The sequence below is a fragment of the Homo sapiens genome, chromosome 22 (genome assembly GCF_000001405.40).
Source record: "Homo sapiens chromosome 22, GRCh38.p14 Primary Assembly".
NCBI classification, from domain to species: Eukaryota; Metazoa; Chordata; class Mammalia; order Primates; family Hominidae; genus Homo; species Homo sapiens.
The window spans coordinates 35706454-35730206 of record NC_000022.11 but is presented as its reverse complement, the minus strand read 5'-3'; the positions used below and the strand labels follow the sequence as shown (position 1 = coordinate 35730206).

Sequence of the window (23753 nt, the reverse complement as noted above, 5' to 3'; positions counted from 1 at the left end):
GGAAGGAATCACCAAATTTACCTCTAAATAAACAGCTGCATTGTGACCTTGCTGTATTCCTTTAAGGGGTTTTGTTTTCCTACACACAAGTTTGAGAGATGTGTTTCCCCTTAGGTAAAAGGTAAGAAAGTCCTTGCTCTTTTCCACCTAATAATACAATCAACATTTTCCACGTTAACCCAGTCATTGAGTGAGCATCATTTCTGACAGCTATGTAGTGTTTTATCAAGTGGATGAATATTTTGTATGTAACCAGTTCCCTAGTGTTAGAACATTTTAATGGCTCCATATTTTTCATGATTATAAATTATGCTACAGTAAAGGGATAGTTTTCTCTCAATAACAGCTTTTCTCAAATCATTAACTTGTCATTGCAGGGCCCTGGAAATGGAGAATGGATCTTAGCTTGAGCAACAGTCTCCATGCAAAGGTGTTGACTTGCAGAGTCATGACAGATGACAGGAGGGAAGAGGGGGAGGAGTGGCAGGTGATAGTTTAAAACTTTTTTCATTTTCATTATAAAGGTACTATGTAGTTACATACAATTTGGAAAATCCATGAGTTTGGAATGTGTCCCGGCTCCAGTCTTAATTAACATGAACACGTAGGTCTTCTTGGCCTCCAATTCCATCTGTACACACAAAAAAGCCTGGTCTCTTGCAAATTTATCTTCCACCCCAGGTATTTCTGGAGTCCCCAGGGGTTACCACAGACCATTGCAAGTTTGCCTTCTATTATCATTGCTGCTGGTTTTATCATTGCCACTAGAAGTTTCCCTACCCCCAGTATTCTTCAGGGAAGACTTGCATTTTGCCTCTGTTAAATCAAGGTTCAGTGGTGACAGGGTGACCAACTAGGGTATAAAAAAAAAAAAGAAAGGAAATAGTTTACTCACTTCTGCAGCATCTTAGGGATCCCACAGTGGGTTCACTTGAGCTCCCACATATTACAGGGCTGGGCGAGGTCATTCTTCACTTTGCACACCTAGTACTTTTCTGTCTTATTCACTGCTAGGTCTGGCATGATGCCCGGCACAGAGGTGTGCCCAATTGAGATTTGTGCATTGATTAACTTCATGAATGAACGAATGGCCCATCTGGCAGGAAGTACAGAGAGAGCTCAGTGATCTCACTGACTGGCAAAGGCACCAGGTGGCGTGGCAGGTGGCCGGATGGAAAGGTAGCAACAACCTCTGTCCCCGTTAGGCCCTCCCTCTCTTTCCCTGAAGCCCACCCACCCAAGGAGGGGTTACTTCACTGTCAGGGGTTCCCACAGCTCCTGGCTTCCTTGCGTCCCACTTACCTCTTCTCATTGTCGGTGTCTTCCCGGGGCCTGTCTCCCCTTTCTTGCTGGTGCTGGTGGGGCTGGCTGGTGGCCAAGCATCCTTGGGGCAGAGACTGTCCTCTTTGGTGTCCTCAGTGCCACGCCAGGGCCCAGCCTAGGCTGGTGCTCCACAACAGGCCAGGGGAGAGGTGAGCGAGACCCTGTGGAACATGAGTCCCTGTGTCTTACAACTTCCAAGAAAGAGATCTGCCCCTGGACGTTCAGAAGCTCAAATATGTCCCCAGAGAGCAAATTTCTATTGGCTTTGAGAAGAAGAAAACCCCTCCCGCCCCAGGGCAGTGGGTCCCAAACTTGGCGGCACCGCAGAATTACCTGGAGATCTTTAAAAATGTCTAAAGTCGGCCGGGCGCGGTTGCTCACGCCTGTAATCCCAGCCCTTTGGGAGGCTGAGGCGGGTGGATCACGAGGTCAGGAGATCGAGACCATCCTGGCTAACACGGTGAAACCCTGTCTCTACTAAAAATACAAAAAATTAGCCAGGCGTCGTGGCGGGCGCCTGTAGTCCCAGCTACTCGGGGGATTGAGGCAGGAGAATGGCGTGAACCCGGGAGGCGGAGCTTGCAGTGAGCCAAGATGGCGCCACTGCACTCCAGCCTGGGCAACAGAGCGAGACTCCGTCTCAAAAAATAAAAAATAAAAAACAAAAAAAAGGTCTAAAATCCAGGTCATATCCCAGACCAAATAAAGCCCAGTCCCTGGGGGTGGGACCCACCCACTCATCAGTATTTTTTGCAGTTTCCAGATAATTCCAACATGCAGACACATTTGGAGCCACCTCCTAAGTCCTCGGCCCATCACAGGCCCCACTTAATGAAAATCTGTTGAATGGACAATGAGTGAATGAACATTTGAGCCTTCACATCTTCGGCAAACACTTATGTGTCCTTTTCCCGGGTTTCAGGTTGTGACCTTGCTACCGCGTCATTCTATTAAAGATGAATCTCGAAATTCTCCTTTATTTTTTGGTAGCAGTTTTCTTGTTTCAGTTTTTATATCTAGGAATTTAATTTCTCTACATAGGAGAGTCTAGAAATGTAAACTACTTTTCAAATAAAAATCCTTTCCCAACTCATTTGAAGTGCCGTTTTTATCACGCAATGCCACATTCACGTCATTCAACACGTATTTCCGGCACACTGGCTATGTGCCAAGCACTGCTAGGTGCTGGGGATACTGGTATGGACAAGAGGGACACAATGGCTCAGCTGTCGCCACCCAGACTGATAAACTGGCTCATCTGATCTTGTGGCCTCTACCCAGGAACCGGCTCAGCGCAAGAGGGCGACTTCGACTTCCTATGATGTCATCTCCAGTCCCAGCAACCAGCACTGCTCACTCCCTGGACCCCTATCCGCCAAATTATCCTTCCCTGCCAGAGCCTGCAGACCACAGGAGAGGCAGACAGGGAGCACCCCCACAAACACACAAATATGGGATTTCAAGAATTTATGGTTATTTATGGTCAGGGCTTTGAGAGAACAGAACGCAATTCTGGGAAGAACAGAGGGCGCCTAGTTAATGTCAGGGGTGTGCGGCAAGTCCTCTCTTTGCAGAAGGGGCAGCTGTAGTTATGCACTGATGTGTCCGTTTAGCATTCGTCGCCCCCCACCCTCATGGTAAGCTTTTAGAAGAGCAAGACCACGTCCGTGTTATTCGCTGCCTTCCTACCTTCTGGTTTAACCACACGGGATCCTCGAACAGCCCTGCCCCGGGAGCTGGAACAGGTCTGGCTCGCCTTCTGCGGCAGGTGCCGGTGGTGCTGGGTGAGCCGGTCCAGCTCCTGCTCCAGCTTCTTAGCAAGTGCTCTCAGTTCCTCTGCTGTCTCCGTCCTTGCCCCATCCTCCAGGTGCTTCCAGCTCTGCAGGAAGCTGCTCATGTCTTTCATAAGTAAGAAGCCAGCCCCAGCAGCACCCATCACCCAGGCACCATTGGTCATGGCCAGAGTTGTGCCCTCAAAGGCTCTCTGCACCCCTCTAGCCGTCCAGAAAGGGATGTGTCTCTTGGCCACAAAATTCTTGACCATAGCCATGAAGCCAGAGTTGGATTTGGCCATCTGGTAGGCATGAAGATCCTTGATGCCCTGGATAGCTTTTACACACTTATTAACACAAAAGCCAGCAGCCTCGATTTCAGACCAATTTATTCCTCCGAAAGCCTCATGTGATGTTGTCAGAGGCCCCAGTCGGCTGGCTTTGTCTCTTGCTGCTGAATTGCTTCTATTTTCTAAGACATTTGTTACTATGTTGGTGATGGCAGCTGCTGCCCCCAACCCTGTCCCAGTTGCTGAGAGCATGAGACTGCCTCCTGCTGTCACAGGTGCTAGGGCCAAACCCAGGATGTTCATGACCCCAGAAACAGCCCCGGAAGAGCTGGCCACCAGGCTGGTCTTGGTAAGCAACTCGTGAGTGGTGTCAACTTGGTCCGCAAGGGTGTTAAGTTCTTTGATGTTCTGTTCTAGCTCAAACTTGTGCAAAGGAAAATATGAGAGAAACAATTTTTCCTCCTCTGACAGATTTCCATCTGGCATGGAATCTTTGTCACATCGCATCAGCTCTTCAAACAGAAAGTAGGACAGCATACCAGCCTCATCACTGTGGACAGTTGACATCAAATTGTTAATTTTCCAACTCTGGCACAGGTTCACGAGTGAGGCTAAAGACATCTAGGCAATCTGAGCACTAAAATGTGTGCAGGAGGCAGAGCCCTGAGAATCGAGGTACAATGTCGAAACCACCTTTGCAAAAATTCTAACAGTGGGGAAATTACAGCAGTGAAAGGGGTCTGACCTAACCGGCTTCATCTTGCTTCTAACCTCCAAGCTGTTCTCGTTCATTCTTCTGGGCATAAGCTGAACTAACTTTGGGAAGAACTTAGTTTATAGTTTAACTTTGAAACAAAGATGATAACAGCCCTTTCCCAGAAACAAACCCCCTTCTTGCCTAGGGACCAGACTGCCTTTATAGGACTAAAAAACTGGCCACAAGATTAGAAATTATAGTTTAGGTGTTATTCAGCCAGAGGCCACAAGATTCTAAACCTCCCCAATTGCTCCTCGAGATAACATCACTATTGTAAAACCTAACATGAGTGCTCGAGATATTTTTCAGACCCTGCACTCAATGGCTCAGCTGTCGCCACCCAGACTGATTAACTGGCTCATCTGGTCTTGTGGCCTCTACCCAGGAACCCGCTCAGCGCAAGAGGGCGACTTCGACATCCTATGATTTCAGCTTCAACCCCAGCGATCAGTACTCCTCACTCCCTGGACCCTTACCCACCAAATTATCCTTTAAAAAAAAAAACCAGTCCTGGCCAGGCGCGGTGGCTCACGCCTGTAATCCCAGCATTTTGGGAGGCCCAGGCGAGCGGATCACAGGGTCAGGAGTTCAAAACCAGCCTGGCCAATATGGTGAAACCCCATCTCTACTAAAAATACAAAAGTTAGCCGGGTGTGGTGTAGTCCAAGCTACTCGGGAAGCTGAGGCAGGAGAGTCGCTTGAACCAGGGAAGTGGAGGTTGCAGTGAGCCGAAATAGCGCCACTGCACTCCGGCCTGGGTGACAGAGCAAGAGTTCATCTAAAAAAACAAAACAAAAAAACAAAACAAAAAACCCAGTCCTCGAATTTTTGGAGAAACCGACTTGAGTAATAATAAAACTCCAGTCTCCCATTCATCTGGCTCTGCATGAATTAAACTCTTTATTGCAATTCCCCTGTCTTGATAAATCAACTCTATCTGGGCAGAGGGCAAAATGAACCCACTGGGCTATTACAATGTGGGCAGCAGACAGACAGACAGACAGAAGGTCCACTCTGGCCTGGAGCCCTGGGTGGGGGTGGCCGTGTGTTTTTAGCAGGAGCACAGTTCAAACTACCCCTATGCAGGCCTAGGCTGATGGCTTACTATTCCATTCATCCACAAACAGCTCTCTTCTAAATGTATGTGGATACAAGGCCGGGCACGGTGGCTCACGCCTGTAATCTCAGCACTTTGGGACACCGAGGCGGGTGGGTCACCTGAGGTCAGGAGGTCAAGACCAGCCTGACCAACTTGGTGAAATCCCGTCTCTACTAAACATACAAAAATTAGCCAGGCACGGTAGTGGGCGCCTGTAGTCCCAGCTACTCAGGAGGCTGAGGCAGGAGAATCACTTGAACCTAGGAGGCGGGGAGGTTGCAGTGAGCCGAGATCGCGCCATAGCACTCCAGCCTGGGCAACAGAGTGAAACTCCGTCTCAAAAAAATAAAATAAAATAAAAATAAAATAAATGTATGTGGATACTGATGTGATGAATAAAATGTAACTTAAAAGCTTTACTGACTTTGGTCACCAAGTCTTTTCCTAATAAAGATATACATACATGCATACATTTATAATGTATACATATATAACAAGTTGTCACCAATTTGATTAAAAAACAGTACCAAGAGTGTATGGAGCAGATGCTTTGATCTTCTTTCTTTTTCTTTAAAAAAAAAAAAAAGGTGGTTGCTTGAAAATTGTGGTTGCTTCTGGGCAGGGAACCTGGGACATCGGGAAACAGGATTTAAGGAGACCCATTTTTTTTTTTTTTTTTGAGACAGGGCTTCACTATATTGCCCAGGCTGGCCTCGAACTCCTGGGTTCAAGTCATCTTCTCCAGCAGCTGGGACTACAGGCGCATGCAACCACACCTAGCGACACTTACTTTTTACTATTTGCCCTTTTGTTCCTCTTAACTTTTGTGTCAAATGCATGTATGATAATTTTTAAAAATTAGTAAAAGAGTCTACATTTCCAAAGCAAAAGTTTGGGGATCTCCAAGAAGACAACCACAAATCCCCCTTCCACGGGAGAGGGCTCACTGTCATTCAGTGGGACAGTGTTGAATATTTTGAAAACAAAGTAGAATTTTTTTGTTTGTTTTGAGATGGAGTCTCACTCTATTGCCCGGGCTGGAGTGCAGTGGCGCGATCTCGGCTCACTGCAACCTCCGCCTCCAGAGTTCAAGCCATTCTTCTGCCTCAGCCTCCCGAGTAGCCGGGCATGATGCACCACCATGTCGGGCTAATTTTTGTGTTTTTAGTAGCGACAGGGTTTTGCCATGTTGGCCAGGCTGCTCTCCAACTCCTGACCTCAAGTGATTCACCTCCCCTCGGCCTCCCAAAGTTTTGGGATTACTGGCATGAGCCATCACGCCCAACCCAAAGTAGATTTTTAACAAAAGTGTGGTCACACTTAGAAATAGTGAGATCTACTCTGGCCGCTTGTTAACAGGCAAGTGGGGGGAGCTTGTAAATCTTAAGAAAAAGTGAGGAAAAGGGAAAAAAGGCACAACTGGGAAAATCCTCTCCACTCAAACTTTTCCTGTAGTTCGAAAAAAGAATCACCATTCAATTTTCCTGTTGAATCATTTTGGCTCAGTATCTGGAACTTCAGAGTTCTGCAAGACCTTTGAGAATCACTGTTCTTAAGTACCATTTTCTTATGGAATTTGGGGTTTCCAGCGTGTGTATTGCTGAACTATGGACTGTATGTGTGACTTTCTACAGCACGTAACAGGGTTTGACTTGTATATCCCTTAGGCTGGTTCTGGCCTGTCTCCTAATTGAGCATCTACAAGAGACTTGGCTTGGGTTTGATGGATAGTGAGAGAGGATCTATGGGAAAGGATGCAAGGCTGTGGGCAAACTGTACTTGGACCAAGGAACCCCACGGCCTCAAAGGAACTGTTGACAACAGCCTTAGAATCCTCTGCTCCTTAGCCAAGGCCATCAGCAGCCTCAAGTGGACCAGCCCTGGGTCCCTCCCTCCTCCCTCCTGGAGGAAGCGGGAGGGGCCTTCTGACATCCTTCCTCATCTTCAAGTCACTCTTTTAAGAAAAGACTTCATCAGGGCTTAAGGTGAACATCTCTGTAAACCTAGGAGTTCAGTGCCCCCTCTCCAACCTAAGTTTTAGAACTATGAGATGTTAGAGCTGGAAGGCCCTTCCAGATCGCCTTGTACACAGATGGCAAAGAGGCATAACCTCCCCGCTATTGTTAGTGAGGGTGTCTAAAGCACGGGAGAATCACGGTGACACATCTAGGCTCTTTGGGAAAGAGTGCTGCTGTGACCTAGTGGGTGCCCTCTAGGCACAACACAGAAGATAAATAGTATTCTGCCACATTTTTGCCATCAATGAGCCCAGTCCCTTATTTATAGAGAAGCAAACCAGCTCCAAAAAGGAGGGACATTCCCTGATTACAATTGAGTTAGTGGTGGAGTTAGGGTAAGAACCTAGGGCCGGGCGCAGTGGCTCATGCCTGTAATCCCAGCACTTTGGGAGGCCTAGGCAGCCAAATCACTTGAGGTCAGGAGTTCGAGACCAGCCTGGCCAACGTGGTGAAACCCTGTCTACTAAAAATACAAAAATTATCCAGGTGTGGTGGCGGGCACCTGTAGTCCCAGCTACTCGGAAGGCTGAGGCAGGAGAATCACGTGAACCTGGGAGGCAGAGGTTGCAGTGAGCCGAGATCGCGCCACTGCACTCCAGCCTGGGCGACAGAGGGAGACTCCATTTCCTGAAGCCTCTAGTCTGCCTCAACCACTGGCTGATTTTCCCCAAGATAGGAAAAATCATCCCTTTCCCTTTACCAAAGGAGGAGAGGTTAACATTGTACAAGCACATAGGAAGGGCCCCTGTTAACTCCAGTCCATGCAGCATGCATTGGCCAGTAGCCAAAGTCAAGGACACGGATAAGAAAAATGGCTGTGCCTGTGCCTGAAAAGTCAATGCCTTTTTTGGGGAGCTTTCTCAGACTTAACGGGAGCACTGGGGGGAAATCTTGACAGTGGAGGTGGGAGAGAGAACAGTAGAGGGAGGCTGGGCCAAGGACACAGAGAAGTCAATAACTGTACCTGTGTCTGAAAGCGCAGGCAACCCATTTGCATGACGCATGAAGATTTTATCTTTAGGCATTTGGTTGCTATAAATTGCGGGAGCATTGCAACCCACTTTAGAGAACCTTATGGACACTTTGGCAAGAGTTAAGTGCAACCTCTGTTAGGCAGCAGAGTTTGTTGTGAGTCTATTGCTGCAGCTGAGCTCTGTGGGAGAGTCTGAATGCCCAGGCCAAGGCAACGGAAAGGGAAGTCCCAGGAGCTTGGATCTCAAGGCAAGACTCAGACATTATCATGGGTTGGGAAAGGGTGAAGGCAGACCCAGGAAGGAATATTCCTGGATTGGGAGAAAACCAGCAAATTCTGCTTCTAGGATTCCATTGCCCTCTAAGCCATGTGTCTGGGCATCTATCAGTATACCAATGTACTTACCATTACCAAAGGATTTTTTTTTTTTAAATGAAGCCCTGCTCTGTCGCCCAGGCTAGAGTGCAGTAGTGGTGCAATCTTGGCTCACTGCAACCTCCGCCTCCCGGGTTCAAGCAATTCTCCTGCCTCAGCCTCCCATGTAGCTGGGATTACAGGCATGCTCCACCACACCTAGCTAATTTCTGTATTTTTAGTGGAAATGACGTTTCACCATGTTGGCCAATCTGTCCTTGAACTCCTGACCTCAAGCGATCCGCCCACCTTGGCCTCCCAAAGTGCTAGGATTTCAAGCGTGAGCCACCGTGCCTGCCCTTACCAAAGGTTTTACATTTTTTTTACTAAGATATTTTTTATGCGGATGTGTACATTTTATCTTTTTTGCATATCTCCAATTGCACATGAGACAACATGAGCAACACTTCAGCCAACTTGGTTGGAACCCATTTGTATGTTTCATCCTATGAAGGTGGCTACAGATCTGGATATTAACAATCAGATTTTATTCCTTCATTCAAATACTTATTGACAGCTGGGCACGGTGGCTCACACCTCTAATCCCAGCACATTGGGAGGCCGAGGCGGGTGGAGCATTTGAGATCAGGAGTTCAAGACCAGCCTGGCCAACATGGGGAAACTCCATCTCTACAAAAAATATAAAAATTAGCCGGGCGTGGTGGCGGGCGCCTGTAATCCCAGCTACTCGTGAGGCTGAGGCAGGAGAATCACTTGAACCTGGGAGGCAGAGGTTGCAGTGAGCCGAGATCGTGCCACTGCACTCCAACCTGGGCAACAGAGAAGAGACTCTGTCTCAAAACAAAACAAAACCCAAATACTCATTGAGTGCTGGGTCTGTGACAGACACTGTTTTGGATGCTGGGATTGTGGCCATAAGCATAACAGCCTGTTCTCTGCCCTCACGGAACTCAGGTTCTGGGGACTTCCCCCAGACCTCACCTCCGTAGATTACCTTTCGAAGCCACATTTCTTTACAACCTTCTCCCAAGCCTGGAGATGGACAAGGATCAGGGACATTTCTTCTTGAGTCATCTCAGCCCGAAAAGACATAACAGTGCTCCGGGAAAGTTGGCTGTCTAATTACAATATTGGAGAATTAGAAAAAAAAAAGAATACAACAAAAATCTTAATGTCTCAGAAATGTCACATGATTTTTGTCTAATGATTTTAAACAAACAAACCATGGGAATGCCCAAGGTTGACTAGGATGCAATAAAACTGGAAATCGCTTAGGCTTCTAGTGGCAAAGTAGATTGGTAAAGCACTTTTGAAATGTTGACGTTATACGTTAATGATATGGGAGCAGGCAGGGAAGTGCTGCTTACATAAAGGCATGGTCCCCGGTGAGGGTTCCACCCTCGGGCCTGGGCCCATGGATCTAAGTGAGGACAAGCATTTCTGCTTTCGCTCCCAAATGCTGCATTTTCTAAGACCACTCTGGCCCGCCATATCCCCACCTAACAGGCAGACACACACAAGTAGCTGGACATCGAGAGGAACACACAGGAAGAAGAATACACCGGCGGATGCTGACAGGTCATCCACGGCTGAATGACATGGAATTTAGCCAAAGGCAGTTGGAGGAGAACCGCTGAGTGGCCCAAATCCAGGGGAAGACCACCTTCCCACTCCATCCCCTTTCTGGCTCCCCATCCATCTGCTGAGAACTACACTCGATAAAACCTTGCACTCACTCTCCAAGCCCACGTGTGATCCAATTTTTCTGGCATACTAGGGTTAGAACCCTGGAGTACAGAAATTAGACCCTCTGCTTTGTCCTTCCGATAAGCTCACTGGGGCTCGGGAGCTGCAAACACTCAACCCTAGATGGGGCTGCTGTGGGGTCGGAGCCCACGCTCCCCAAGACCTGCCGGTCCGCATGCTCCCCCTAGGGGTTTGAGCCGCAGGGCACCGAAGAAGTGAGCCACACCCCGTTTTATACTGTGCAAGGGGGATAAGGGAACTTTTCCCATTTCGTTAAGTCACAAAAGTCTTCTGAGAATCATCCAACAACACAATGATAGGCACCAAGACAATCGGGGCCATGTTAATTGATAACATTTTTAACTTGGGAGCAAGTGAACGCTCATTCTGTCCAGTGCCTATCATCTATAGCCCTGAGAGAGGCACAGTCCAGTCCCTGCTGAATGACACCTGCCTGATGACAAGGCTCGTGGGCGGGATGGTGGTTGGTTTTACCCAGGCAGGCAACACAGCAGAGTCCACCTTGTTCAGACACTCTCTCTCACATTGCAGCTTCTTTTGTTGCTCAAAAATCACTTTAAATGTATTTTCAATATAATTTGACAAAAAGATAGTCAAATTTGACAAAAAATATAATTTGACAAAAATCACCCCTAGTTCTCCTGCAACATAACTATTGATTTCATTCTCTACTTCCCGTTATTTTTCAAATCCGTATTATTTTTCGCATGGCTTTTATACTTATAATGGTGTGTCCTGTTTTTATTTATTATTATTATTTATTATTATTATTATTTTTGAGACGGTCTCACTGTCACCCAGGCTGGAATGCAGTGGTGCGATCTCGGCTCACTGCAACCTGCGCCTCCTGGGTTCAAGTGATTCTCCTGTCTCAGCCTCCCGAGTTGTTGCAATTATAGGTGCGCACCACCATGCCTGGATAAGTTTTCTATTTGTAGTAGAGATGGGGGTTTCACCATGTTGGCCAGGCTGGTCTCAAACTCCCAACCTCAGGTGATACATCTGCCTTGGCCTCCCAAAGTGCTGGGATTACAGGCATGAGCCGCTGTGCCTGGCCACGTGCCCTGTTTTTAAAATGTAATGTTATACAAGTATTTTCCATCTTGCTATACAGTTGTTATAACTATTATTTTTGATGACTCTATGCTATTTCCTTAAGAGAAGATGTATTGTCATGTTTATAGAAACACTCCCTTATCATGGCACTTTGGCGTCTTTTTTTTTTTTTTTTTTTTTTTTGAGACGGGGTCTCTGTCTGTTGTCCAGGCTGCAGTGCAATGGCGCGATCTCCCAGTTCAAGCAATTCTCCTGCCTCACCCTCCCGAGTAACGGGACTACAGGTGTGCACTACCAGCCTGGCTAATTTTTTGTATTTTTAATAGAGACAGGGTTTCACCATGTTGGCCAGGCTGGTCTTGAACTCCTGGCCTCAAGTGATCTGCCCATGTTGGCCTCCCAAAGTGTTGGGATTACAGGCATGAGCCACTGCGCCCAACCGTGCTTTGGGGTCATAACAGTTTTGATATCCAGATGAGTTCTTTGATAATGTCGCCACCTTGTCCTGCCTGCTGCCTCTACTTTAACCAGAAATGGAACCAGTGATTGACCCCTTCCCCGCTGCCACACTGCTTCAAGCAGGGGCTTAAAGAGCTGCTTATGTTTTTAGTTAAACTTTACATTTTTAGTTAAACTTTACAAAGGAAGTTATTTGATGTAGTATTTTCAAACCTGAGCAATTGAGAGGGTCTCATGATATCTCCCTCATTAAAACCAAGGATCTGCTATATCTCCACCCAGCAATAGCATATGGTGGGTATAAAAAATAGTGTAACGTATTTTTTCTATTTCTGGGACAATTTGTACAACGTGAGAATTGCTTGTTTTCTGAAAGCTTAAAAGAACTTACCAGGTAACACCTTGGAACCGGGAACTTGCAAATTTCCTTGTTTGCCACATGGCATGCTTTAGATTTTTTAAAATTTAAGCTTATAATATGATTAATAAATATGACTCCCTTCTCCATGCCTGAAACCTGTCTCTCCCAGTCCTCACCTATTTTTTTTTCTTTTCTTTTCTTTCTTTTTTTTTTTTTTTGCGATGGAGCTTCTCTCTGCTGCCCAGGCTGGAGTGCAGTGGTGCAGTCTCAGTCACTGCAACCTCCACTTCCCAGGTTCAACTGACTCTTCTGCCTCAGCCTTCTGAGTAGCTGGGATTACAGGTGCCTGCCACCATGCCTGGCTAATTTTTGTATTTTTAGTAGAGACAGGGTTTCACCATGATGGCCAGGCTGGTCTCAAACTCCTGACCTCAGGTGATCCGCCCGCCTTGGCCTCTCAAAATGCTGGGATTACAGGCGTGAGCCACTGCGCTCAGCTGCTATGGCTTTTGGAAGGATGATTTAGGGTATCTTTCTTTTTTTTTTTTCTTTCATTTGGAGATGGTCTCATTTTGGCACCTGGGCTGGAGTGCAGTGACACAATCTCGGCTCACTGCAGTAACCTCCCGGGCTCAAGTGATCCTCCTGTCTTAGCCCCCCAAGTGGCGGGGACTACAGGTGTGCACCACCACACCCAGCTAATATATATATATATATATATTTTTTTTTTTTTTGTAGAGATGGAGATTCACCATGTTGCCCAGGCTAATCTCTAACTCCTGAGCTCAAACAATCCACCCTCCTTGGCCTCCCAAAGTGCTAGGATTACAGGTGTGAGCCACTGCACCTGGCCTTCTTGGGATGTCTCTTAACATGAGAAGTACATGTGCCTGACACTCAGCATCCCACCTCTAGAAATACACCCACCACGGACACAACACAACGGCACAACACAACACAACAGACAAACGTGTATGGATGTTCATCCAGTTATTTGAAGTTGTATAAAGAAATGGAAACAATTTGAAAAATCCATGCCGGGGACTGTTTACATGAAAATAGAGCAATACAAAATAAAGGTTTATGGATGTGAAAAGGAACGAGGCAAATCTATGTACAACTGACCTAGAAAGAGGTCCAGGATATATTAAGTAAAAGAAAAGAGGTTGAAGAATATGTTCTTTATATTCTTTTCTTATTTTTTTTAAGTACTATATATGTGATGTAGGAGTAGGGGAATATTCTCGAAGGAGATACACCAAATGTGAACAGGCTTAGCTCAGGGAGGGAGATTTAGGGCTAGGGTGACAAAATACTTTTGCACTTTTCACTCATCTATATTATTGAGCTTTGTTACCAAAGTAACTTGTTAGTTTTATAATAAAAGCCAATAGAAGCCAGGCACGGTGGCTCACGCCTGTAATCCCAGCACTTTGGGAAGCTGAGGCAGGTGGATCACCTGAGATCAGGAGTTCGAGACCAGCCTGGCCAACAAGTCTCTACTAAAAATACAAAAATTAGCCAGGCGTGGTGGTGGGCACCTGTAATCCCAGCTACTCAGGAGGCTGAGGCAGGAGAATCTCTTGAACCCGGGAGGCGGAGGTTGCAGTGAGCTGAGATTGCACCACTGCACTTCAGCCTGGGTGACAGAGCGAGACTCTGTCTCAACAACAACAAAAAGCCAATAGAATAAAAAGATTTTAGTAATGAGATTTATTATTCATTATTTTATCATAAAATCTCCCACTTGTACAGTAATGCATTTGGTGCAGGGAATGCTGCCAAGTACATGGTAAGACAAAATCTGACAAATTAATACTGTTAAATGTTAATATTGTTTTCTTTTTTTGTTGGTTCTATGTAAGTTTTTCTAACTTGTTATTTTGGCCTTTTGTGTCCTATTTATTTCAGGTTATCTCTTGGATGTAGAAAATTACTCAGATCTGATTTTGACCCAATTTGATACTTTTCTTAATGTTATTCATATTCATATTAATTATTTTTTGTTATAATTATTCAACTTTGATTTGTCCCATTATTTTAGGCATTCTGCTTTTTATTTCTTTGCTCTCTTCCTATGCTCTACATAGATAGGTACAGTGCAGAGGTTTCAGCTGATGCAGTGAGTGGTTTATTGTGGCAGCCCGGAGCTTCACCTTGAAGGCAGAGATGTGTGTTATCTGCGCTTTCCTGCCTACTCTGTGTATACCCAGTAAATGACAGATACAGAACAACACTTAGAATAAGACCTCATCATTCATGACACTAAGTTTTGTTTTTTTATGTATGTATGTATATATTTATTTAATTTTTGATACACAGTCTTGCTCTGTGGCTCAGGCTGGAGTGCAGTGGCACGATCTCGGCTTTGCAACCTCTGCCTCCCTTGTTCAAGCGATTCTCCTGCCTCAGTCTCCCGAGTAGCTGGGATTATAGGTGTGCACCACCACGCCCAGCTAATTTTTGCATTCTTAGTAGAGACGGGGTTTCACCATGTTGACCAGGCTGTCAACCTCCTGGGCCTCAGGTGATCCATCTGGCCACCTCAGCCTCTCAAAGTGCTGGGATTAAAGTCCTGAGCCACTACGCCCAGCTGACACTAAGTTTTTTATGTTTAAAATCTTGCTCAGCTCTCCCTGCTGTCCTGGGCTAGAATAGATCTTGGGAGATGACTCTATTAGACTTTATTTTGGGGAGGAGGCAAGAAGGGAGTGAGCAGGGCTGAGACCCAGCAAAGGCAGAGGATGATCATATAGCGGGAGTGGGAGAACCACTGGACAGGTTCTGGGTCTGTCCATGAAATGGGCTCATAGTTCCCTTCCAGTTAAATTCATCTCCTATGCAACTTTTGTGCTTTATGCATAGGATGAGAGGTCAAACAACATCATCTTGTGTTTGATTATGTACACAGATGTTTCACGAATCATCATATTTCATAATCGATCAATTTCTGATAATTTAAAAATGCATCTTCCATGAGAAAGCTCAGAATATCACACTGAGAGCGAGAAAGAACTACCCTTCTCCCCCTGCTTTGACTCACGTCTCCCAAACAGGGCGTTAGACTCTTCTGAGTGGTTTCCATTACAAGACACCCAGGAGGCCACCTTCAGTGGAGGCTGTGGCCACTGTGCTCAGGGATCACACACAGATGCAAGGAGCTTGCTCCTCTCTCCTGCCTCCTCTCTCAACACGGAAGAAGGGATCCACTGGCCCCAGTTCATTTATCTTGCTTTCTCAACTCTTCTCAGTCGGACACCCTGCATTCATTGCTGGAGGACACAGCGATCCTGAACTTGGAGTCTGGTTTTAGAGGCAGGGAGAGGCTCACGTAGACCTAAGCCAGGTAGTTCAGTCCATTCTGCCAGAGAGCTCTGCTCTGGAGAGTCAGCCCCAAGCCAGAAGGGTAAAACGAGGCATTGTCCTTTTCTGCTACTACTGTTTGCCATTGTCCCTCATGCTAATATCTCCCTCGAGGGCCACATAGTGAGAAGGCATGGCTGGGCCAAAAACAAATCTAGGCACTTCTGGAATTCTCAACCACACAACCAGATAACAGTGCCTGGACTGACCACAAAACTGGACCCATTAAGAGTTGCAGGGCCCAGAGGGATAACGCAGATTTTTATTTATTTTTATTTTTTTGAGACAGAATCTTGCTCTGTCATCCAGGCTGGAATGCAGTGGCATGGTCTCAGCTCACTGCAACCTCCGCCGCCCAGGTTCAAGCGATTCTCCTGCCTTAGCCTTCCAAGTAGCTGGGATTACAGGTGCGCACCACCACGCCTGGCTAATTTTTGTGTTTTTAGTAGAGACGGGGTTTCACCATGTTGGCCAAGCTGGTCTTAAACTCCTGACCTCAAGTGATCCACCTGCCTTGACCTCCCAAAGTGCTGGGATTACAGGCTTGAGCCACCGCGCCCGGCCAACACAGATGTTGTATTCTGACTTGAGTATGTATCTGGATCTGAGGTTCATGAAATACAGTCACCACAGCTAAGGAACCCAGGATGAGAGGTCTCTAATTGTAGGAGGAGTGTGAGCAGAATCTCATGGGAGATAGGGCAAGAAAGGGACTTTAGTTCCTCACCTTCACTTTCGGACCCAGGATCAGCCACATCCAGTGCCTCAAGTCACTTCATAATCTCTAGCATCTCCCGTTGTAGGTGGGGACAGTGAGCTGGGGTCAAGAGAATTTACTGAACAGGAGAGGATTACCTGGGTGGATTTTGGTTGGTGCTGCAGTCATGGTATCTCTGAGGATCCCTTGGCACTTCTCTCTCTGCAGATGACAATGGATCCTAGGCCGGAAGAGAGGCAGCTTCCCCTCCTAAAGAAGAAAACCGACCCCACAGTCATTCAGAGAGGCGATGAGTGGCGGGGCGCCATACGGAGCTGAGGCCTGGTGACTCCGAGATGGGAATTCGTAAACAGATAAAATCCACGGAGGATGGAGAGCTTAGAGGGGAGAAGAGCACTGAGGCTGGAGCTGGGAAACACCAATGGTAGGTGGAGGGGTTGAGGAATAACTCAGAGGAAGCTACCCCAGAGAGAGGGTGCAGGGAGGGACCCCAGCATCTGTTTCTTTCGCTGTCAAGCCTCTCGCTATCTCCATCATAGTACAGCAACTCTCAGAAGTGCTTGCAAAGACTTCTGGTTTGAACATGAATGGATCACATTCTCAATTTCTCTTCTTTCAAAAATTACCCATAAGCAACAAGGAAAATGAAGCAAATACCATCTATTAGAGACGAGGGAAAATAGATAAACTAGATTAAAAGGATGCCAAAAGCAATGGGAATGAGCAGGGCTTTGGGAGGAAGAGGAGAGAAGATGTTGATAACTGCAAATTTCAGAGAAAAGAAAAGCCTCTCTTCAAGGCAATGGGTGTTCCCAAAGTGCAACAATAGAATGCTGTGTTCAAAATAGTAAGACTAAGGTGTACAGGTTGGCAGTGAATCCACTAAGGTGTACAGGTTGGCAGTGAATCCGGATTGGTTCCACAAAGCAGTGACGATAGGACTAAATGAGGAAACACAGTGAGACAAGCCATATTTGTAGGAAGCAGTTTGTTTTTGAGGCAGAGAGGGGAAAAGACTCCACCTTGTGAACAATCTGAAAACTGCCAATTCCATTGCTGGGGAGAAATATATACTAGAAATTCAGGTAGAAGGCCCAGGTCATAAAGAACAGTTCTGCTAGCCTAGAACACAGCCCTGGCTTTTTTCTATTTAATTTTCCATAAATAGCTGGTCCATGAAAAGAAGAAAAGCCATCAACACAAGGTCTACACAAAAAAAATTAATAACAAAAAACCCCCAATTTTTAAAATGGACAAAGGATGTGAATAGATATTTCTCCCAATATGTGCCAATAAGCATGTGAAAAGATGCCCAACACCTCTAATCATTAGGAAAATGCAAATCAAAACCACAACGAGGTTAGGTACGGTGGCTTATGCCTGTAATCCCAACATGTTGGGAGGCTAAGGTGGGAGGATCACTTGAGGCTAGGAGTTCAAGACCAACCTGGGCAACAATAGTGAGACTCTGTCTCCACAAAAAATTAAAAAATAATAATTATTTTGAAAACCACATGAAATACCACTTCACACTTATGCAGACGACTCTTACCGAAAAATAAAAATGAGCCGGGTGTGGTGGCTCATGCCTGTAATCCCAGCACTTTGGGAGGTTGGGGCAGGAGGATCATTTGAGTCCAGGAGTTTGAGATCAGGCTGGGCAACATAGAGAGACCCTGTCTCCACAAAAATAAAATAAAATAATTAGCCAGGTATGATGCACATGCCTGTGTCCCAGCTACTGAGGAGGCTGAAATGGGAGGATCACTTGAGCCCAGGAGGTTGAAGCTGCAGTGAGCCATGATAGCACCACTGCACTCCAGCCTGGGTGACAGAGTGAGACCCTGTCTCAAAAAACAAACAAACAGCAACAACAACAACAAAACACAACAACAACAGAAGGCTGGGCGCGGTGGCTCACACCTGTAATCCCAACACTTTAGGAGGTTGAGGCAGGTAGATCACCTGAGGTCAGGAGTTCAAAACCAGCCTGGCCAACATGGCGAAACCCCGTCTCCACTAAAATACAAAAATTAACCAGGTGTGGTGGTGCATACCTGTAATCCCAGCTACTTGGGAGGCTGAGGCAGGGGAATCACCTGAACCTGGGAGACAAAGGTTGCAGTGAGCTGAGATCATGCCACTGCACTCCAGCCTGGGCGACAAGAGCAAAACTCCGTGAGGGAAGGAAGGAAGAAAGGAAGGGAGGAAGAGAGGGAGGGAGGGAGGGAAGGAAGGAAGGAAGGAAGGAAGGAAGGAAGGAAGGAAGGAAGGAAAAACATGGTGAAATATATATTGTGGACAAGTTGGAATGCTTGTGAATTGCCGGTGGGAGTGGAAAATAATGCAGCTGCTGTGTAAGATAGCTGGTCCATAAAAAACAACACGTTTTTCACCTTGTGTAAAACAACAGGGTGGTTCCTCAAAAAATTAAAAATAAAACTAACATATGATCCAGCAATTCCACTTCTGGGTATATATATACCCAAGAGAATTGAAAGCAGGGTCTCAAAGAGATATTTGTATAACAATGGTTATAGCAGAATTACTCACAATAGCCAAAATGTGGAAACAAGCCAACTGTCCATTGATGGATGAATGGATGACCAAAAGGTGATATATACACATCATGAACTATTATTCCTCCTCAAGAAAGAAGGAAGTCTTTTTTGTTTGTTTGCTTTTTTTGTTGTTGTTGTTGTTTGAGACAGAGTTTCACTCTTGTTGCCCAGGCTGGAGTGCCAATGGCGTGATCTTGGCTTACTGCAACCTCCCACTCCCGGCTTCAAGCGATTCTCCTGCCTCAGCCTCCCAAGTAGCTGGGGATTACGGGCATGTGCCACCATGCCCGGCTAATATTTTTTTATTTTTAATAGAGATGGGGTTTCACCACGTTGGCCAGTCTGGCCTTGAACTTCTGACCTCAGGTAATCCATCCACGTTGGCCTCCCAAAGTGTTGGGATTACAGGCGTGAGCCACTGCGCCTGGCCAGAAGGAAGTTCTGACCCATGCTACAGCATGGATGAACCTTAAAGACATTCTGCTAGGTGAAATAAGCCACTCACAAAAGGACACACGCCGTAGGATTCCCCTTATATGGGATTCTTAGGGTAGTCAAATTCATGAAGCTAGGGAGCAGAGTCGTGGTTGCCAGGGGCTGGGGGAGGGGAATGAGGAGTTATTGTTTACTTGGGGCAAAGTTTCAGTTTTGCAAGAGGACAAGAGTTCTGTGGATGTTGGTGGCCATGGCTGCACAACAATGTGAATATACCTAATGCCACTGACCTGTACCCTTAACAATGCTTGAAATAGAAAATTTCAGGTTATATATATTTCACTACAATTAAAACGAATATATATATATGTGTGTGTGTGTACATATATATGTATATATATACACATTTATAGGCATTTAAGTATATAGACAAAAAGGGGTTGGGTGAGGTGGCTCACACCTGTAATGCTAACACTTCAAGAGGCCAAGGCGGGAGGATCACTTGAGCCCAGAAGTTCAAGACCAGCCTGGACAACAAAGTGAGACCCTGTCTCTACAAAAAAAAAAGAAGAATAAAAAAGAAAAAAAATTAGCCAGGTGTAGTGGTGCATACCTGTAGTCCAGCTACTTGGGAGACTGAGGCAGGAGGATCGTTTGAGAGCCTGGGATGTTGAGGCTGCAGTGAGCCATAATCACAGCACTGCACTCCAGCCAGGGCAACAGAGCAAGACTCTGTCTCAAAAAAAAAAAAAAAAAAAAAAAAAAAGAGAAAGAAAGAAAGACCTAAAGGCAGACAGCAACAACAACAAAAACAAAGAGCAGATAAAGAACACTCACCAGAAACATGCTGCCAGCAAGCTGATGGAAACTATCATTCTTCTGTAATTAATTTTGTTAAAGTTAGTGAAGGAATTTCCCCTACAATGCAAGAGCATAAAACAGAGATGTGAGGGCTCAGAGGAAACATGGCAAGGTAACAGGAGGAAAGCACATGGAAGCTGGTGGAGCTTAGGAAAGAAGAGAAGAGAAAAATAAAGTCATTACAAAAAAATCAATGCTCATTGGATTTTATACAAGAGAAAACAGACACTATTAAAAAAAAAGATATAGAAGACAGGGATGAAGTGAAAATAAAGTGCTGAAAAAAGTTTAGCAAAAACATATGGAATAAATAGGAATTTTGCTAATGCCAACATATGCTCCTTGGAATCCCCAAAGAAGAAAACTGGAAAATGTAAACAGAACAAATATTTAAAGATAAAATTGAAGAAATATTTCTAGATATAAAAGAGCACACTAGGTCCCAGGAAAAATGGTTGCTGAATGGTGGCAGCAGGGAAAATGTAATGAAGTTACTAGATTTCAGATAAAACAAAGGAATTTCTTGAGCGACCAAGTATGTTGGCTTCAGACTTTCTAGAACATTCAGCACAGAAACAACAGACTGGCGCCTACAATAGCCATGAAAATAGAAACTCTCAGAAGAAGTGTGTGTGTGTGTGTGTGTGTGTGAAAATTTTGTGTGTTTTATACCTTAGTATGATTTTTTTGGCATGCTATTAGTTCTTCAGAGCACAGAAGAAAAGACATTTTGATTCATAATACTATCTTAGCTTTGCTTTTTAGAATATATCTAGATACTGACAAAGATTATATCGCATTAGCTTTTTATTCAAAACCTGCATATGCATACGTTTTGCATGTTCTTGATAACAAATGTTGACACTTCGATAAGTAAAAGGAAGTGAACACAGGTCATTTCAAGTCCACCACCCATGGTAACCACCATCCACACTCATCTTTTGACTGACATATCATTTAATGAAAAAAAGACTTGACATCCATTTTCTCATGTACCACTCAAAATAGCATTGTAAGGGAAGCGCATTTGTGTTACTCGCATTGTGTAGCCAAGGAAATTAAAGTTCATTCGATTGAAGTACTTACCTGGGTCACCCTCCGTTGTCACAGTCTGTGGGCGCAGGGTAGCTACCTCTCGAGTAGTCCACGTTTTGTTCCTATATGGGTCCCCACAACATGACAGTAACTGGAATTTCAGGCAGATGAGCTGAGGCAGTTTTGAGCAAGGAGTCCAATGGTTCGGGCCACTGTTGACCACTGCCTGCCCCTATAAATATATAACTACTCAAGGGAGTTGCATAAATATTCTGGTCTTCTCATCAGAAAAAAATCAGCGCAGAGGAAAGCGTATATTTATCTTGGAACAGAACTGTAACCATGGACGGCTCTGCCCCTTCCCCCCTTTTTAATCCAAGCGATGTTTGTGAAGAGCACAGATGTGATCCTGAAGGTTCTTGACAAACCAGCACTTCCCAGATTTTACCGTGTAAATCATTCCCTGGAGACCTTATCAAATTGCTGATTGTGTTTCAGGAGGTCTTGGACAGGACAGGGCCTGGAATTCCGTATTTCTTTTTTCTTTTTTTTTTTTCTTTTTTTTGAGACAGAGTTTTGCTCTTGTTGCCCAGGCTGCAGTGCAGTGGTGGGATCTCGGCTCACTGCAACCTCCACCTCTCGGGTTCAAGCGATTCTCCTGCCTCAGCCTCCCAAGTAGCTGGGATTACAGGCTCATGCCACCATGCCCAGCTAATTTTTGTATTTTCAGTAGAGACAGGGATTCACCATGTTAGCCAGGATGGTCTCGATTTCTCTCTTTTTTTTTTCTTTTTGAGATGGAGTCTTGCTCTGTCTCCCAGGCTGGAGTGCAGTGGTGTGATCTCGGCTCACTGCAACCTCTGTCTTCTGGGTTCAAGCAATTCTCCTGCCTCAGCCTCCCAAGTAGCTAGGACTACAGGTGCGTGCCACCATGCCCGACTACTTTTTTTTGTATTTTTAGTAGAGACAGGATTTCACCATGTTTGTCAGGCTGGCCTCAAACTCCTGACCTCAAATGATCCGCCCGCCTCAGCCTCCCAAAGTGTTGGAATTATAGGCATGAGCCACCGTGTCCAGCCGGAATTCTGTATTTCTAACCGAACTCCCAAATGACACCAGTGCTGTCAGTCTTGAAGAGAACAGAATAGTCAGATGGTAAGAAAAACCCTTCTCCAGGGCACCATGGCTCTCAGGCTAAGGCCGAGGACTTTTTCTGTGGTTTCTATGGCCTGATGAGAGGCCCCCCACCACTCTCCACTCTCCTCCTTTACTCTCGTTACTGAATAGTCCCTTGATCCACAAAAGGTCCATTTCCAGCAAATGTGAAGAATTCCTATAATTAGTAAGAAGAAGATGTATAGTCCAATAGAAAAGTGGATGAGAAACTTGAAATAGGTACTTCACAAACGAAGATATCCAATGGCCAGTTAATATTTAAAAAGATGCTCAACCTCATTAGTACAGTCATTCCTCACCTAACGAAGGGGACACATTCTAAGAAATGCATCCTTAGGCAATTTCATCATTTCACAAACATCATAGAGTATATTTACACAAACCTAGGTGGTCTGGCCTACTCCATGCCTATGCTACGTGGTATGGCCCATTGGTCCTAGGCTACAGGTCTGTACAGCATGTGCTTGTACTGAATATTGCAGGCAACTGTAACACAATGGTAAGTATTTGTGTATCTAAACATCTCTAAATATAGAAAAGGGACAGTAAAAATATGATATAAAAGATTAAAATGGGCTGGGCACCGTGGCTTACACCTGTAATCCCAGGACTTTGGGAGGTCAAGGCCAGCGGATCACTTGAGGTCAGGAGTTTGAGACAAACCTGGCCAACATGGTGAAACCCCATCTGTACTAAAATACAAAAATTAGCCAGGCGTGGTAGCGCATGTCTGTAATCCCAGCTACTTGGGAGACTGAGGCCCAGAATCACTTGAACCTGGGAGGCAGAGGTTGCAGTGAGCTGAGATCGCACCACTGCACTCCAGCTTGGGTGACAGAGTGAGACTCCATCTCAAAAAAAAAAAAAACAAAAAAAACCCGTTATAATTTTATGGGTTACCCATCTTTGACCAAAACATCATTATGCAGTGTGTGACTGTAATTTGTATTTCTTTTTCTTTTTTCTTTGCTTAAAGACGAGTGTGATAGTATATAATTTATAAGTAAGCAAATGCAAATTAAAAACGCAACGATAGACACGCCCTTCCCAGGCTGTGAAGCGCCGTCATGTGGTGAAGACCTGCCCTCTGCACACCAGGGAGACCCCAGACCTTCCAGGCCAGGGTCTGACAGCACTCACAGGCCTGACTCTTCTGTCAAAGTCTTGCAGAGCCCTAAGATCTCATTGCAATGAAAAATGCACTCACATCGTCAGCTCCCAGGCCAAACAACCTGGAGGAGTCTGAAAGGGGAAAAGGGGATGCCCAGGAGAAATCCACAGAGCTGCACCACCTTGGGGGACTGGCCCATGCTCAGTGGGGTTTCTTCACTGAGCCCTTCCCTGGGCTGGAGAT

At 45.7% G+C, this 23753-nt stretch overlaps 1 protein-coding gene across 3 annotated transcripts; it reads right to left on the bottom strand.

Moving 5' to 3' along the window:
• Window positions 1-723: 723 nt before the first annotated feature.
• On the bottom strand, window positions 724-21783 carry APOL5 (apolipoprotein L5). 3 transcript variants are annotated; one of them, XM_006724321.5, is made up of 6 exons: window positions 21275-21783; window positions 16469-16580; window positions 9602-9725; window positions 3013-3935; window positions 1303-1484; window positions 724-853 (listed from the first exon to the last, which is right to left on the bottom strand). In XM_006724321.5, exons 2-5 carry the CDS (start codon window positions 16497-16499, stop codon window positions 1309-1311), a joined length of 1254 nt encoding a protein of 417 aa, XP_006724384.1. In that variant the 5' UTR covers window positions 16500-16580; window positions 21275-21783; the 3' UTR covers window positions 724-853; window positions 1303-1308. The 3 variants fall into 3 exon arrangements, with proteins under 3 accessions (XP_006724384.1, XP_016884434.1, NP_085145.1); XM_017028945.3 differs by lacking the exon at window positions 9602-9725; NM_030642.1 differs by lacking the exons at window positions 16469-16580; window positions 21275-21783 and adding an exon at window positions 12281-12335 and having other exon boundaries at window positions 3013-3996; window positions 9553-9639.
• Window positions 21784-23753: the final 1970 nt, after the last annotated feature.